The sequence below is a fragment of the Homo sapiens genome, chromosome 12, assembly GCF_000001405.40.
Source record: "Homo sapiens chromosome 12, GRCh38.p14 Primary Assembly".
Classification (NCBI taxonomy): domain Eukaryota; kingdom Metazoa; phylum Chordata; class Mammalia; order Primates; family Hominidae; genus Homo; species Homo sapiens.
In genome coordinates, this window is record NC_000012.12 from 120,709,644 (window position 1) to 120,725,181 (window position 15,538).

Sequence of the window (15,538 nt, forward strand, 5' to 3'; positions counted from 1 at the left end):
CTCTGAACTTGAGCTTCCTGATCTGTAAAATGGAGACAGTAATACCTCACAGGGTTGTTGTGAGGTGAGGAGCCTGCCCTATAGCAAGTGTCCTGCCATATAGCAAGTGCGCAGTAAACACTGGCCATTCTTCTTCTTGGTGTGATTACTGGGAATTAGTTGCCATTGTGCTGTTGGGACTGGTGACAGAACTCTTGGATTGAGAATGCCGAGATGGTGCACGGAAGATTCTGTGTGCTCTTTCAGACCAGGAGGAGGATGAGGAGGAGGAAAGTTTATATGACGTAAATTCATTTGACCGTAAGATATGTATTTAAACATCGTGGAGGATCTTGGGGGTCTGATGGGGAGTGGGGTTGCTGAAGCTCCAGCCACCCCTAGGCCCTCCACCTGGCAGGACCAAAGTTGGGGCAGTAGCCGAAGCACCGCCCCCCGGGCCCCGCAGGAGTGTGCAGTCACCCAGTTAGGCCTATCTTGGCCTGCCCATCACTCCTGGCCTGCGGTCTCCTAACCCTGTGGCAGCAGCAGCATTCCCTGAATGGATCGAAGGCTGCCATGGTGTCGTCCGCTGAATTGCTATAGGAGTCAGCCCAGGGCTGCTCATGTGCACCTCAGGTTGCTGATGGCAGCTCTAGTTATTTGGGGATGGAAGTTTGGGGAGAGTGGGCCTTGGTCCACCCTGTGCGAAAGGGAATTCCACAGCCCCCCGGGCGCCCGCCCCCGCCCCCGCCCCGCCCCCTCCCCGCCCCTTCCCCGCCGGGCCCCGGGCCCCGCCCCCGCTCTCCATAGTTACCGCGCTGTGGAGGCGGCGGCCATCTTGGCGGCGGAGCGATGAGCGGGTCTAACCCGAAGGCTGCGGCCGCGGCGTCGGCGGCTGGGCCCGGGGGGCTGGTGGCTGGCAAGGAGGAGAAGAAGAAGGCGGGCGGCGGCGTCCTGAACCGCCTGAAGGCGCGGCGGCAGGCGCCCCACCACGCGGCCGACGACGGCGTCGGGGCAGCGGTCACGGAGCAGGAGCTGCTGGCGCTGGACACCATCCGGCCCGAGCACGTCCTGCGCCTCAGCCGGGTCACCGAGAGTGAGTGCCGCGCGGGCCGCGCCCTCCCCTCGCGCCGTGCCCCGGCTCCCGGAGCCTTCAGCGGACCCGGCCACTTGACCAGCGCGGGGGTCCCCGCCAGACCCCCTCGGCCGGCCGGGCCGCGCTTCCCGCTGCCCCGCCGGCCGGGCTTTGCTCCCGCCACGCTCACGTAGCTCTGGTGGGGAAGGACTCTCCTGGGCTGGACCGCATTCCTGTGAGTCCGGCCACGCTAGGATGCCCTTCGGCCGGTCGGCTCCCCAGCTCTGCCGGACCTGTTTGGGTAGAGGGCCCCGTTCAGCTGAACTGGATCCTCCTGAGCCGGCCGGGGGCCGAGGTCCCCTAATAAATGGGCCCCTGGGCCCTCAGCCTGGAACCCCCGGCCATCAGTGAAGTTCCCGCTCAGCCAGGCTCCCCCAGCCCTCTGGCAGGCCAGAAGCCTTACCTGCTTCCTCCGCCCTGGCCCCATGGCAGCCCTCCCCCATTGCAGCCTGCCCGGCCTCCCTCCCTCTTTGGGTCGGGAGCGTTGCCCCTTAGTGTGCAGATGGGTTCTTCCTCAAAACACATAGCCGTGGCATTTCCTGCTCATTTAAAACTGTGCCACATTAAAACAAAAATAAAGTTTCAGTTTGTGTACAGACTCCGACATGTGAATCCTGCTTTTGACATTCTCGTGAATTAAGAATGATTTCAGAGTTTCAGAAATGCGTTTCCTGCACAAAAGGCAACCATCCTAAGCTTTTTCGTTGATAGGAGGATGGGTGGGAAGAAAAATGTTGCCCAGTCCCTGCCCTGGGTGATCTCCCTTTTTCTGTTCTCTGCCAAGCCAGTCCCTGACTTGACGTCTTTTCTCTTGCTGCTGTTTTCCCTGCAGGAGTGTGCACTCACCTAGTTAGGCCTATCTTGGCCTGCCCATCACTCCTGGCGTGCAGTCTCCTAACCCTGTGGCAGCAGCAACATTCCCTGGATGGATCGAAGGCTGCCATGGTGTCTGCTGAGCTGCTATAGCAGGCAGCCCAGGGCTGTTCAGGTGCACCTCAGGTTGCCGATTGCAGCTCTAGTAATTTGGGGATGGAAATTTGGGGGGAGTAGGCCTTGGTCCACCCTGTGCGAAAGGGAATTCCCATTTCCTAAAAGAGTTTTAATTTGATTCTAGATATTTGGATGCCCCCGTTTCCCAATACTGTTTGGGTTGAGACTGTCCTTACCAGACCTGAACGTATCTTTAGACATTCTTGTTAGTTTTATTGAAACAGTGTGAAAAAGCTTCTTTTCTTCTGAACCAGTTTTCATTTGGGGCTCTGAAAGTACAGATGCTCAGCACCTGGTCTTGGTAACCTCATGCCCTCTCCTGCCATCCAAGTGAGTTAGGGTATTCTGTGCCTGGCCCTAAGCAGGATTCTCAGTGGGCACTCAGATCCTATCTGGGGGCTTGGGATTGTTGCTCATTGTCCAAACCCACCTCTGCAGCTTCTTAGAGTCTGGCAACCTCTTTGTTACTCTTCTTAACGTCTCGTTCATTCTATCCAGCAGATTATTTGAGTACCCTCTAAGAGTCCAAAGCCAATGTTAGCCTTTTTAGCAGTTACAGAATAATCAGTAGTTGTCAAGTTTGTCGTCTTAATAAAGAGACAACTTGTAAAACACGAAAACAACTAACTCAGGCAATAAAAGATCAAGTATCAAAATGAGCTGTGGAGAAGATGCTATCCGGAATCATCCTAGAAAGAAATCAGTGAAATTTGCTGTGATTAGAATTATTTCAATTTGCGGCTCATGTTCTAGTCACTTGGGCCTAATGTCTTCACCGGCAGATTTATCCTCTTGCCTGGATATGTATGATATGTATTGTCTACTGTATGATTTTGTGTAGCCCACAAACTAAGATTAGGTTTGTACATTTTTAAATGGTTGAAAAAAACTTTAAAATCTTGAGACACGTGGTTATGTAAAATTCATATTTCAGTGTCCATAAATACAGTTTTACTGGAATATAGCCACATTCATTCATTTGCGTATTGTCTGTGGATGCTTTTGTGGCTACAATGATAGAGTTGAGTAGTTGTGACAGAGACCATGTGGCGGCAAAGCCTAAATTATTTAGAATCTGGCTCTACAGAAAAGTTTGCTGATCTCGGCTTTCTTACACTGACAGTTGGCAAACTAACGTTGGCAAACTAGCACTGTATTATCTGCTAAGTCAGTTTAAATGTCTTAGATTGGAATTCTATAAAAAGTTCGCCCTGTTCTGACATCCAACTTGATAGATGATGAAAGATTTTTATGTGTTTCCAAAGAAATCCACCTTTTCTATCCTAGTTTCTAAAAGTTTTGCAATTTTTCATCCAAAGCAAGTCCTTGTTATTTTTTTTCTTTGTTGGATCCCCTAATTCTGTCCATACAACTTCTGCTGGTGATAACACATGAGAAAGTTTTTGGGAGTATTTTAAGTGTGTTGTGTAAGAAAAAATCTGAGTTTGCTTCAAAACTTGAGAATTAAATAAATGGTAGTTTTGGAGGATTATTTAACAGTGTTGGTTTCTCTCTCTTGTTTTCAGATTATTTATGTAAACCCGAAGACAACATCTACAGTATTGATTTCACCCGCTTCAAAATTCGAGATTTGGAGACAGGGACAGTACTTTTTGAGATTGCCAAACCTTGCGTTTCAGGTAGGCCTCTACGTTGTGGTGACCACTAGACAGTTTTGAGCCAAAGGTCTTTGAAACTCAAATCTTTGTGTGCCACTGCATCCTGTTTCTTGGACTCCAGTGTGTCCCACTTCTGTGACCTCTTCCCGTGGCCTGGTCTGCCAGGCATGGTGGTTTGAAGCTGCGTTCAGAGGCTGATGTTTGTTGGATGTCTATTCTGTGCTGGTCACTGTGTTCCACGTCTTTGTGCACATCAGTGTATGTAATCCTCACACCTCTTTGAGGAATTACTGTTATCTCTGTTTTACAGCGAAGGATCTGAGGCCTACAATTCCCAGGCGGCTCTTTCCTAAGGCCCTGTGCTGGTTCATCTTACCATGTTGCCTCCAGTTGGGAAAGGAATCCTTGAAATTAAACTATAATGAGGAAAACTCACCTGAGCCTGGTGCCCTCTTGGAGGGTGATAGGGAGGATCCTGGTCCAGACATGAGGCAGTTTGAGCCATCTTCTTGCTCTCTTTTACATATTGCCTTGGAGTTCCCAGACCTAGTTTGGATTTTAATCTCAACCATTTTCTGGAAGAACAGACCCAGGAACTCAACTACTTGGGGTTCCTTAAATTAGCCTCCCATAGCCGCTTCCTGTGCTTGTGATAAAGTGCCAGGCTGATCTGGACCACAGAAGCCTTTGGAGCACCTCACTGGAGGTTTAGCGCCCCCTGGAGTTAGTCATTTGTTAGAACACTGGTACAGATACCCATAGTATCAGTGTGGTTTGTAAACTTACTTTGCAGTGTTTCTCATCTGATTTGCTACTTAGAGCCTGCAAATTTGATAAGGCCCCGATTTCACCCCTACCTGGTGGTATTTATGCTATCATAATCTCATACTGACCAAGGCACCTAAAGGCTCAAGTTCATGGGTAATTTTGTTGTTGTTGTTTTGTGGGTTTTTTTTTTGTGTTGTTTGTTTTGAGACACAGTCTTGGTCTGTCACCCAGGCTGGCGTGCAGTGGCACAATCTTGGCTCACTGCAACCTCTGCCTCCTGGGTTCAAGAGCTTCTCCTGCCTCAGCCTCCCAAGTAGCTGAGATTACAGGTGCCCACCACCATGCCTAGCTAATTTCTGTATTTTTAATAGAGACGGGATTTCACCATGTTGGTCAGGCTGGTGTCAGACGCCTGACCTTTGATTCGCCTGCCTTGGTCTCCCAAAGTGCTGGGATTACAAGCGTGAGCCACCGCGCCTGGTTGCTTATGGGTAGTTTTTTATTGGGATGGTCAGATCAAGACCAGCTAGCTTCCTGGGTCTGTGGTGTTCTCATCTCTAAGCCACATATCACAGTACCTGGGACATTGCAAGGACTCCAGGCCTACTACAGGTATGTGGATTTGGATTAGACTCAAGAGTTGTCATTTCAATATAAGACGGAACTGTTTCAAGAAGGTCAGCTGAAGATACTGTAAAGTATCTTGGTTTTCAGTCTCTCTAGTTTTTACATTTAAGGATCTTGATTCACTTGTAATATTCCCCACATTGAGGCTGGGTGCGGTGGATCACACCTGTAATTCTAGCACTTCGGGAGGCTGAGGCAGGCAGATCACTTGAGCCCCAGGAGTTTGAGACCAGCCTGGGCAACATGGCAAAACCCCATCTGTACAAAAAATACAAAAAAATTAGCCAGGCGTGGTGGCACATGCCTGTGGTCCCAGCTACTCAGGAGGCTGAGGTGGAAGGATGGCTTGAGCCTGGGAGATCAAGGCTGCAGTGAGCCGTGATCACTGCATTGCACTCCAGCAAAGGTGACAGAGTGAGACCCTATCTCAAAATAAATCAATAAATATAAACAACAGATTATCCTCACACTGAATCACTACCTTTCTGCAGCACTTGTTCTGATGAATTTGAATCCCCAAGATTTGCTGTCTCTCTGAGTCACATTGTTGGAGCCAGGGTTTTAGAGTCTCTGGGGGTGAACCCCTACTCAGCCTGGTTGCCCAGTCGCTCTTGGGCTTGTCAAAAGCAGAGATGTTTGATGCTGAAAAAGTCTTCTCTTATGTTGTACTCATGTACAGCTTAGACCTGGAGAAAATATCCTCACTGGACACTGGAGGGTACTAACTCCTATTCACATTAGAATGCTTGTTCTCTGATTCTTTTTTTTTTTTTTTTTTTTTTTTTTTTTGAGACGGAGTTTCACTCTTGTTGCCCAGGCTGGAGTGCAATGGCACAATCTCGGCTCACTACAACCTCCGCCTCCCGGGTTCAAGCAATTCTCCTGCCTCAGCCTTCCGAGTAGCTGGGATTACAGGCATGCGCCACCACGCTGGGCTAATTTTGTATTTTTAGTAGAGACAGGGTTTCTCCATGTTGGTCAGGCTGGTCTTGAACTCCTGACCTCAGGGGATCCGCCTACCTCGGCCTCCAAAAGTGCTGGGATTACAGGCATGAGCCACCGTGCCCAGCCCTCTGATTCATTTTACAAATCTTTCATCTCCTGGGTTCAGGAATGGACTAGACCGGAGACCAGCATTAACCTTGTAGAGGCCACCACATCTGCTTCACCCTTTCCCAGGTGGTCAAAGGGTTAGGCCTGGTATGGCCTAGAAGTAAACATCAGTCAAGGAACTATAGTATCCCAAGGCTGTAGGTCAATGTCTTCTATTTAAATAACAAAATTATTTTTAGTGGTTTATCTTTGCAGCCTGTCAGAAATTTTTATATTCATTGAAATAACTTTCTGATAAGTGTCAACTTTTGTAGCCTCATTCTTTTAGGTTGGTGCTAGCGCTTCAACTTGGTTAACTGCAGACCTAGTCTGAATAGAATAGACCATGTCAGAGGCCCAGTTCCCAGCTTGTGTTTCAGGTTTCACCCTTAGGATATGGCATAAGCTCTCAAACTATTAAAAAAGGCTAATAGCTTAGTGTTGAAGAACAGGCCTTGAGTCAGATGGACCTGGATTCAAATCCCTGTTCCCTCCTCTTACTGTTTGAGGGACTTTGGACATGTTACCTGACTTCTCTGAACTTGAGCTTCCTGATCTGTAAAATAGAGACAGTAACACCTCGAAGGGTTGTTGTAAGGAGTCTGGACTATGGCAAGTGTCCTGCTATATAGCAAGTGCGCAGTAAACACTGGCCATTCTTCTTGTTGGTGTGGTTACTGGGATTGGTTGCCATTGTGCTGTTGGGACTGGTGATAGAACTCTTGGATTGAGAATGTCGAGATGGTGCACTGAAGATTCTGTGTGCTCTTTCAGACCAGGAGGAGGATGAGGAGGAGGGAGGTGGAGACGTGGACATCAGCGCAGGACGTTTTGTCCGCTATCAGTTCACACCGGCATTTCTCCGCCTCCGGACAGTCGGGGCTACGTGAGTACCATTACTACCTGAGGGGAGAACATTCTGTTTGTTCACAGAGAAGAGTGTTTTCGGTTGGGTTTTGGGTTGGCTTTAGAGGAGGGAGGAGGCAAAGTCGGGCTTACAGAGATTTATTTTCCAGGGTGGAGTTCACAGTGGGAGACAAACCTGTTTCAAACTTCCGGATGATCGAACGGCACTATTTCCGGGAACACTTGCTGAAAAACTTTGACTTTGATTTTGGCTTCTGCATCCCCAGCAGTAGGAACACTTGTGAACATATCTATGAGTTTCCCCAGCTTTCGGAGGATGTCAGTATGTATCCCCTGACCCTTACAGCACTCTAGATTCTGAGGGCTACAAGGAACAAACCTTGAAACCCATCTGGTCCAGCGCCCTGGCATTGTCTCGTGGCAGTGCTGACATGATGCGTATCTAGTCATTTGACCTCAGGCTTCTCATTTCCTATTGCTCCTGGCTCCTGTTCTAAACTCTGACTCGGCCCGTATGGGAGCAATGAAGGGTTTGTTTGTTTTTGTTTTTGTTTTTTTCCCCTGAGACAGAGTCTTGCTCTGTCTGTTGCCCAGGCTGGAGTGCAGCAGCGCGATCTCGGCTCACTGTAACCTCTGCCTCCCAGGTTCAAGCGATTCTCCTGCCTCAGCCTCCTGAGTAGCTGGGATTACACCACACTTGGCTAGTTTTTGTATTTTCAGTAGAGACGGGATTTCACCATGTTGGTCAGGCTGGTCTCGAACACTTGACCTCATGATCCACTCTCCTCGGCCTCCCACAATGCTGGGATTACAGGTGTGAGCCACTGCCCCCGGCCCTTTTGTTTTTTTCTTTTTTTTTTGAGACGGAGTCTTGCCCTATTGCCCAGGCTGGAGTGCAGTGGCGCAGTCTTGGCTCAGTGCATCCTCCGTCTCCTGGGTTCAAGTGATTCTCCTGCCTCAGCCTCTCGAGTAGCTGGGATTATAGGCACCTGCCACCATGCCCGGCTAATTTTTTGTATTTTTTGTAGAGACAGAGTTTCACCATGTTGGTCAGGCTGGTCTCGAACTCCTGACCCTGTGATCCACCTGCCTCATCCTCCCAAAGTACTGGGGATTACAGGCGTGAGCCACTGTGCTCAGTCTGAAGGTTTTTTTTTTTTTTCTTTTTGAGACGGAGTCTTGATCTTGTCACCCAGGCTGGAGTGCAGTGGCGCAATCTCGGCTCACTGCAAGCTCTGCCTCCTGGGTTCATGCCATTCTGCCTCAGCCTCCTGAGTAGCTGAGACTACAGGTGCCCACCACCATGCCCGGCTAATTTTTTGTATTTTTAGTAGAGACGGGGTTTCACCGTGTTAGCCAGGATAGTCCCAATCTCCTGACCTCGTGATCCGCCTGCTTCGGCCTCCCAAAGTGCTGGAATTACAGGCTTGAGCCACTGCGCCCGGCCGGTCTGAAGGTTTTAATAATACAGGCCATCCTTTTAGATGCCTCCTGTGGGAAGACAGTGCCTAAGGGAGATAAAAGGAGGCCTGTGACCATCCCTGGGACGCTGATCAGATAAAGCACCTCTCCTGTGCACTGTTAGTCATGGTTTTCCATTGTGTTTTAGTCATTGGCCCTTCACTTTTTTCTTAATCAGAGCTAGATGTGAAACTGCAGGCTAAATAGAATCAAGGCCAGAGGACTTCTTTTCCATTCCCTGCAGGATAGAGAGTTGATTGGATAAAGTGTTGAGATAGATCCAGCAGGAAGGAATGGGGCTGTTGTAGATTTTGGGGCAGGAGTGAGAAGGTGGAAATACTGTTTGAGGAAGAGTGGCCTAGACCTGGGGAGGGCACCAGAGGGAGAAGGCTGCTGCCGTGTAGCCTCGGCAAGGGAAGATGGGGACCAAACGAGAGAGAAAGAACAGCCCTTGTCAGTTTCTGCAACTTTGGCCTAGCCACCTCAGGTTCGCATCCTTTGTGAATAGTTAGGGAAAATTCAAGTCATTTATGAGGGTGTGAATAGAATCCTGTGACTAGTGATGCCTGTAGTTGCCTTGCTGGCATCACTGATTGGTCCTCTCAGAATCCCAGGTCCTTAAGAATTGTCATATTCTGAAAACCAGATAACCTTTAATCGTGTGGCAGTACAGTTCCCAGGTAAAATGAGGATTGCTGAGATGTGGGGCAGGGTGTTGACGACAGCATCTGGTTCTGACTTGAACCCCTCTTCCCAAGCTGGCTAGAATATGTAGATACTTGCAAGAAAAGATGATGTATAGTGTTATAAGTTTTACCCATGAAGCCAAATCAGCCTGGAGGGCAATATTATGCATATAAACCGAGTAGTTTTGGCATTGGTGGGTTCAAAGAACTTTAAAAAATCAGTTTCACTTTTTGAGAACTGTGGTGAGCAACAGCATTTCCTCCAGGGGACTCCAAATGGCATGTAATCATTAACTCAAAACTGATCAGAGGTAGTATTATCTTTATTCTCCAGTATGGTTAAAGACTCAAAATGGCATGTAATCATTAACTCAAAACTGATCAGAGGTAGTGACTGTTAATTATCTTTACTCTCCAGTATGGTTAAAGAGGTCTGGGCAATTGCCTGAACAAACAAGACTTTACTTTAGATCCCAAGACAGGCAGACCTATTGCTGAATCATTTGCGAGTTAATACCCAGAAGGTCTCCGGAGAAGGCTCCCTGCCCTGTGTTCCTTGCACTCATTCCAATCTAGGTTTCCTTGGGTTGTCAGGGTTGTGTGTGGAGGTGGGCACAGTGAGGCTCAGATTTCTGAATTTGGAGTGGAATGTCTAGAGGTGGGCCACTGACCAGAGGCCAGGGCTGGCTTTGGTCAGCTGAGAGCACTGAGTAAATAGGTTGGTGGGGTCCATGTTGGGAAGAGGGGTGAGCACATTTCCCTGGTATCTTGGCTGAAGAATCCAGGCTGGAGATGACAGAGGAGGCCATGGTGGAGAGTTGATTGCATCCTTATGTTGAAATGGAGATCATGTTCAGCTGGGGGGCCTCTGTGGTCTCCCCAGCTGTCAAGGGCTGCCTCCCTCTGTTCTGACCTCATCGTTATTCTGGCAGAGTATACTCTGAAGCGCTGGCTTATTTTGGAGGGGATGCAAAGTTTTCTCCCACCTACCCTGTGGGGCAGACTCAAACATAATTCTTTGCTTTTTTCTTCCCCCTTTGCCTGACTTGCAGTTCGTCTAATGATTGAAAATCCTTACGAGACCCGCTCTGACAGCTTCTACTTTGTTGACAACAAGCTGATAATGCACAACAAGGCTGATTATGCCTATAATGGAGGCCAGTAAGTGCTGCAAGAGTAGATAGGGGAGGTGCTTTGCCGCGGCCACAAGATCCTGGCACACGGAGATGATCGAAGCTGCAGTTTGTCAACACACATCTGGAACCTGGCCCCAGGAAGCCAAGGCTGGGGTGGCAGTTTCCTGCGCGCCAAAGGAGCTGCCAAACAGTGCTGTGTTTTCTTCCCCAGTATTTTTTCTTCCCTTTTTTTCCTGCCCCGTAGGTTGCAGAGGTACTATAGTAAAGTAAAAGGTTAGGATAAGGGTCCTGGAATCCAGATAAAAAAGTTTATTTTCCGTAGTTCTGGCTGCCTGTTGGTTGTCTTGACGACCAGGCATAGCTGTGCCTGGTGAGAAGGCTCTGGCCAGGCCCACCAGCAGGTCAGCAGCTCTTAAGGTTCCTGGGTGCTGTGGGAAGCTGAAAGGTAGGCCTCTTCCAGGTAGCTCCTCCTCTCACCTCCGGCATTGCCATCAGCGCAGTCTGCCCTCGGTCTGTGTGAAGTCTTAAACCAACTGGAAGACACTTGAAAGGGTGGGGAGGGAGGGAGGTGCCAAGAGTGGAGGCACCAAGGAATGGGTGATGCTGCCAAGCTGAAGGGTCTGCTTTGTGGAGAGGCTGCTGCTCTGTCTGACTTCCAGGGTCTCAGCCAGCCCTCCTGGGAATAGACCAAGTTTTCAGCCTGGCAGTGCCTTCTGTTCCCATTTTGGAGGACAGACAAGCTTGCTCCACATCTCCTGGCTCCTCCCTTCTGAGTCTCATGAAATAGAATGAGTCAGCTCTGCTCATGGAACAGTAGTATCTCTTGAGGCCAGAGCAGGTCTTGTATTTTGTTTTTTTATTTCCAGACTTCTTTCGGGGAGGTTTTATAAAATGACAGTGGTGTTCCCAGCATATGTGATATGTGGTTAGACTTCTGATAGTATCAGCTTCCAGGGGCTAATCTGGCTTATGTTGGGAGGATATGCTTACGAATCAGCAGCAGCTTTCTAAAGGAGAGATTTGACTTTTCTCTGCACTGCACAGCCTGGAGGATTGGCTTTTGATGGGGATTTGCCTCCGAAGCTCTTTGTACATTTCTTGTTTAGGAGGGTTTTCCTATCTACCTTTCTACTGAAGTAGTTTCTGGAACTTTCCTGGTGGATCAGAGTTACGTAATGCAGTCTGAGCCTTCAGACTGCTAGTTAGAATTGTTTTAGGTGTTCAGAAAGGGCAAAATAGGCTGATGTGGCCTGTCAGAGTGATGTGTTCTCAAAAAAGTTCACTTGCACATCTGTGGGCTGCTTTTGTCCTCAGACCCTTAGTGGACAGACTCCACAAACCCTCTGATGAGACGATTGATGTGGCCAGGGTCCAGTTAGCATCAGTAGAAGGATGTCACTAGGAAAGGCCCAGGTATCTGGTAAGTGACTGTGAGGTGTCACAGTACCTGTGACAGGAGAGTGTCCTGATGTGCTTGGGAGAAAGGCCGTATGGGGGCCAGGGATGGAAGAGACAGTGTGTGGCCACAGAAATTCCTGTCCATCCACCACCAGTGCTGCTCCCTGTGTGGGCTTTAGGGCGAGTGGCCCCGAACCTTGGCCCAGTGCTTTGTCCCAGGCCAGAGTCTTGGCAATGCCACATGCTGGCAGCTTTCTCACTGAGAAGGTCCTAGCTTACCCCTGTGTGCTGGCCTTGGATTCAGCCCCGAGAGAGGGGAGAGACCATTCCTCCTGTGGAGTGGGTTCCTTATCACCAGACCGGCCACTCTCAGAACTGGCGTCCACTGTAAATCCAGGTGCCTTACGTGTGGCTCTGTCCCTTATGCTGCAGGGGAAAGCTGCATTGCCATTGTTCCCACCTCCTCACTGGCAGAAAGATGCCAGGGCTGTTAGCACTGTCTCCTCACCTTCTGTTTCTCATTGTGGCTCCTCAAATGGGATTTGCATGTTCCTGTCAAGCGTAACAACAATCCCTTCTCTCTTTGACAGAGGCCCAGGTGGGACAGTTTCTACTATTTGATATTTGAGTATTATCTGGGATGTGGTTCTGGAGCTGCCCAGAGCTGTGCTTAGTAGAGTGTGTCTTGGAAACATGCCCCTGGGCACACTGTATCTGCTACATTAGTGGGCTATCTCTTATCTGCAGTGTTCGCTTTTGCTAGAAAGAGGATGTGGAGGAAGGAGGAGGTGGGCAATCTGGCTTGAGTTGTGCTGTATCCTCTTCCTTGTTAGCTTGCCTTAGTCTCACTGGAGACCATTTGCGGATAGTGCTTGGTCCATGCCCAGCAGGACAGGGCTTTGCTGCTTCTGAAAGTCTGGTGTTCTGTATCTGGGGCTGTGGGTTCCTGTGTCTAGCTGCTCAGGAAATCTTGAGAAGCATTCCACTCTGGGGTGTAAACCAGTATGAGTTTGAAATTCAAGCGTTTGTACCTGAGTTGGGGAGAGAATTGCAAGGCATACTTTCTCTGAAAGTAACAGAACCATTCAGGCTGCCATGTTATTAAGGAATCTGAACTGTTGATAGCAGTTACCTTGTGGGTGATACAATGGGAGGCGGCAAAAAAACTACCTGCATAGGAGACCCTGCCCTTTGTCAAGAGCTGGGAGCACATTTCATCAGAGTAGCAGGCCCACCTGGTGCCAGAGGGCCTGCCCCTCCTGCTTCTGTTCCTTTGCCTTGCAGTCTCCTGGAGAGAGCCTCTCTTTTCCTGTACAGCCTTTGGGCCAAAATGCCCTTCTAGCTTCTCCAAAGAAGATCCGAGTTTATTTCATTCTATGTTTTAAGAGGTAAAAGGACATAACAAGTGAAAGAAGTTTTGGGCTAAAGTAGGCTATGTCTCCTTATGTATTACTCAATACTGTTTTGCAGAGAAAACATTTTTCAAGCATGTGCTTCCTGAAGACACCTCAGTCTTTGGGCCATTTGATTTCCAATACATAGGGTGGAAGAATGTGATTTTGGGGCTGACCATAAACTGGAAATTTGTGAAATGGCAGTGATTGGGCAATCTTCAGTTTATTTTTTCAGTTGAAGTGGAACTCATTTCTGGAATGGATTTAATAGGCTGTGTCTAATGTACAAACTGGGTGAGTCCTGCCTTAGTGTGTCCTGCCCCACCGGTACGCTTCCAGGATACTCTTTTCCCCTCTGTAAAGTCACTTTCTTCTGATGGCCAGTGTCACTATGATGTCAGTGAGGTCTGGGGATGAGGACAGTGTGTCCTGAAATTCACAGGACTGACTCCTCACCCCAGTGCACGAGGATTCCTGTGGCATCAGGTGCTGCTGTACCTGGTGTAGGAGCCTAATCATTGAACCATTGTGTTACTCACATTCCATGTCACAGAACATATCAGCCTCAAGAAGGATTTGGTGGAGGTGGATTTACCACTGGTTTTACAAAGGACCGTGTAAAGTCATTGAAGTTGTGAAAGTCTATTTTTTTTCCTGTAAATCTATTTTTTACAGAATATAAGAAACATCAATGACCTGATCTGTCCTTCCTCCTCCTTCCCGCTTCCCCCAAAATCACATTCCAGTTTTTATTGTCTTTGTGTCCAAAGTAAACTAGGTGACTTATTTGTATAAAATGTTATTTTGCCACATGAGACAGTAATAAAAGAAAGATTTTCACAGTACGTCTCCCTCGTCCTGTCTCCTGATTGTTGGGCCCGTTGTGTTGCTGAGGGGAGCAGGGGCGAATGGGGGCTCCAGGTTTCTCTTACTTTGGCTATTATGTGGCCCTTCTGTAAGTAGTTGAACTAGAGTATAGCTGGCTTCTAGGGTGATTGAGGAATTGTACTGGACTTTAGGCTTAATATTTTTGCTTTATATTTTCCCAGGGTGAGTGGCTTTGTAAATTGAAAGTTTACATGCATGTTTTAAAGGTAGGGTTTTTTTTTTTGAGATGGAGTTTCGCTCTTTTTTCCCAGGCTGGGATGTGATGGCATGATGGTGGCTCACTGCACCCTTCGCCTCCCGGGTTCAAGTGATTGTCCTGCCTCAGCCTCCCAAGTAGCTGGGATTACAAGTGCATGCCACCACGCCCGGCTAATTCTGTATTTTTGGTAGAGACAGGGTTTCCCCATGTTGGCCAGGCTGGTCTTGAACTCCTGACCTCAGGTGATCAACCCGCCTTGGCCTCCCAAAGTTCTGGGATTACAGGTGTGAGCCACTGTGGCTGGCCATAAAGGTAGGCTTATTAAGAAATACTTTAACTACAGTAAAATTTACCTCAATTAAGAGTATTGATGCATTTTGACAAATGAATACTTTTATTACCCATCACAATCATGATATAGGACATTTCCATCGTACCCACTCAGAAAGTTCCTGAGTTCCTTGTGTTTGCAGCCAGGTGACTTCCCCCACTTCGCCTCTTGCAACCACTATCTGATTCTGTCTCTATTGGAAAACTTGGATACTTTTAAAATGAAATTTGAACGTTCATATTTACAGTCACAAATTCTCAAGAGTCTGGTTTAGATGCTCTGTGGCACCTGAAGCAATTATTGGCCTTTGCTCACAAACACAACTCACTTATTTCTCCCTTTTCTCCTGCTTCTTCATCGTTTCTTCCACCCAGGGCTGGTTCCCAGGTGGGATGACGGAAAGGTGAGGAAGCCCTTAGAGCATTTGCCAATGGGAGCCATTCATTTGACTTTAAAGTACTGAGAATTTAGAGGCGTTCTTTTAAATGCATTATTTAAAAAGAAAGGTAACACATTAAGGACTTTGCTGCATCTTTTGATTGGCTTTCTTCTAGGAAGTAGTGACCGAGGTTTCCACTTTCCTCCAAGAGGAAGAGACAGAAGTTTTGGCAAATAGGTCAATGCTGGGAACAGATGCCTGCCTGGCTGAGTGCTGGGAAAGAAAGGCAGTTGGAGGGATGTGTGGGTGCCTGGGAGGGCGTGGGTGGTGCCCAGGAGGCTATGGGAATCAGAATCACACTTGCACAAGAGAAGACCCTTATGGGACAAGTAAAATCAGCATAGTTTCTTGGGCGGGGCAAAGGTGTCCTGATGAGGATGCTAGGGGTCAAATATGTGTCTGGGTTCTGCCCCAATCGGGAATGAGACACAGTACTGAAGTGGAACGGGGGTAGCATCTCCACCCACCTTCACAGCCTCTGGGGAAAAGAAAGCTTTCCTTGCAGCCCAACTCCAGGGGCCTAAATATT

General features: G+C 48.5%; 1 protein-coding gene, 1 long non-coding RNA gene and 1 other non-coding gene across 3 annotated transcripts, besides 4 other annotated features; 2 read left to right on the forward strand and 1 right to left on the reverse strand.

The window, feature by feature from the left end:
• Positions 1-289: 289 nt before the first annotated feature.
• Positions 290-863, reverse strand: LOC124903036 (uncharacterized). The gene is made up of 2 exons (XR_007063491.1): positions 794-863; positions 290-631 (listed from the first exon to the last, which is right to left on the reverse strand). It is a non-coding gene; the product is annotated as an uncharacterized LOC124903036 (long non-coding RNA).
• Positions 705-764: a silencer, noted in NCBI's record as "silent region_4964". NCBI's record gives its function as "represses an Ori minimal core promoter by ATAC-STARR-seq in GM12878 lymphoblastoid cells {active_cell/tissue: GM12878}" and the evidence as "EXISTENCE:reporter gene assay evidence [ECO:0000049][PMID:35858748]".
• Positions 705-1,574: a biological region, named in NCBI's record as "H3K27ac-H3K4me1 hESC enhancer GRCh37_chr12:121148178-121149020".
• Positions 732-1,574: an enhancer, noted in NCBI's record as "H3K27ac-H3K4me1 hESC enhancer chr12:121148178-121149020 (GRCh37/hg19 assembly coordinates)". NCBI's record gives its function as "activates a minimal SCP1, AML or CMV promoter by ChIP-STARR-seq in primed H9 embryonic stem cells {active_cell/tissue: H9 hESC(primed)}" and the evidence as "EXISTENCE:reporter gene assay evidence [ECO:0000049][PMID:30033119]".
• On the forward strand, positions 815-13,997 carry UNC119B (unc-119 lipid binding chaperone B). Its single transcript, NM_001080533.3, has 5 exons — positions 815-1,075; positions 3,631-3,744; positions 6,985-7,096; positions 7,227-7,399; positions 10,277-13,997. The coding sequence occupies exons 1-5, from the start codon at positions 832-834 to the stop codon at positions 10,387-10,389; spliced, it is 756 nt and encodes a 251-aa protein (NP_001074002.1). The 5' UTR covers positions 815-831; the 3' UTR covers positions 10,390-13,997.
• Positions 855-1,124: a silencer, noted in NCBI's record as "silent region_4965". NCBI's record gives its function as "represses an Ori minimal core promoter by ATAC-STARR-seq in GM12878 lymphoblastoid cells {active_cell/tissue: GM12878}" and the evidence as "EXISTENCE:reporter gene assay evidence [ECO:0000049][PMID:35858748]".
• Positions 13,550-13,623, forward strand: MIR4700 (microRNA 4700). The gene has a single exon (NR_039849.1). It is a non-coding gene; the product is annotated as a microRNA 4700 (primary transcript).

Coding starts and splice junctions, on each gene's coding strand:
- UNC119B (NM_001080533.3), top strand. CDS start 832: ATGAGCGGGTCTAACCCGAAGGCTGCGGCCGCGGCGTCGGCGGCTGGG. Junction 3,745..6,984: donor TGCCAAACCTTGCGTTTCAG/GTAGGCCTCTAC, acceptor GTGCTCTTTCAG/ACCAGGAGGAGGATGAGGAG. Junction 7,400..10,276: donor CCAGCTTTCGGAGGATGTCA/GTATGTATCCCC, acceptor CCTGACTTGCAG/TTCGTCTAATGATTGAAAAT.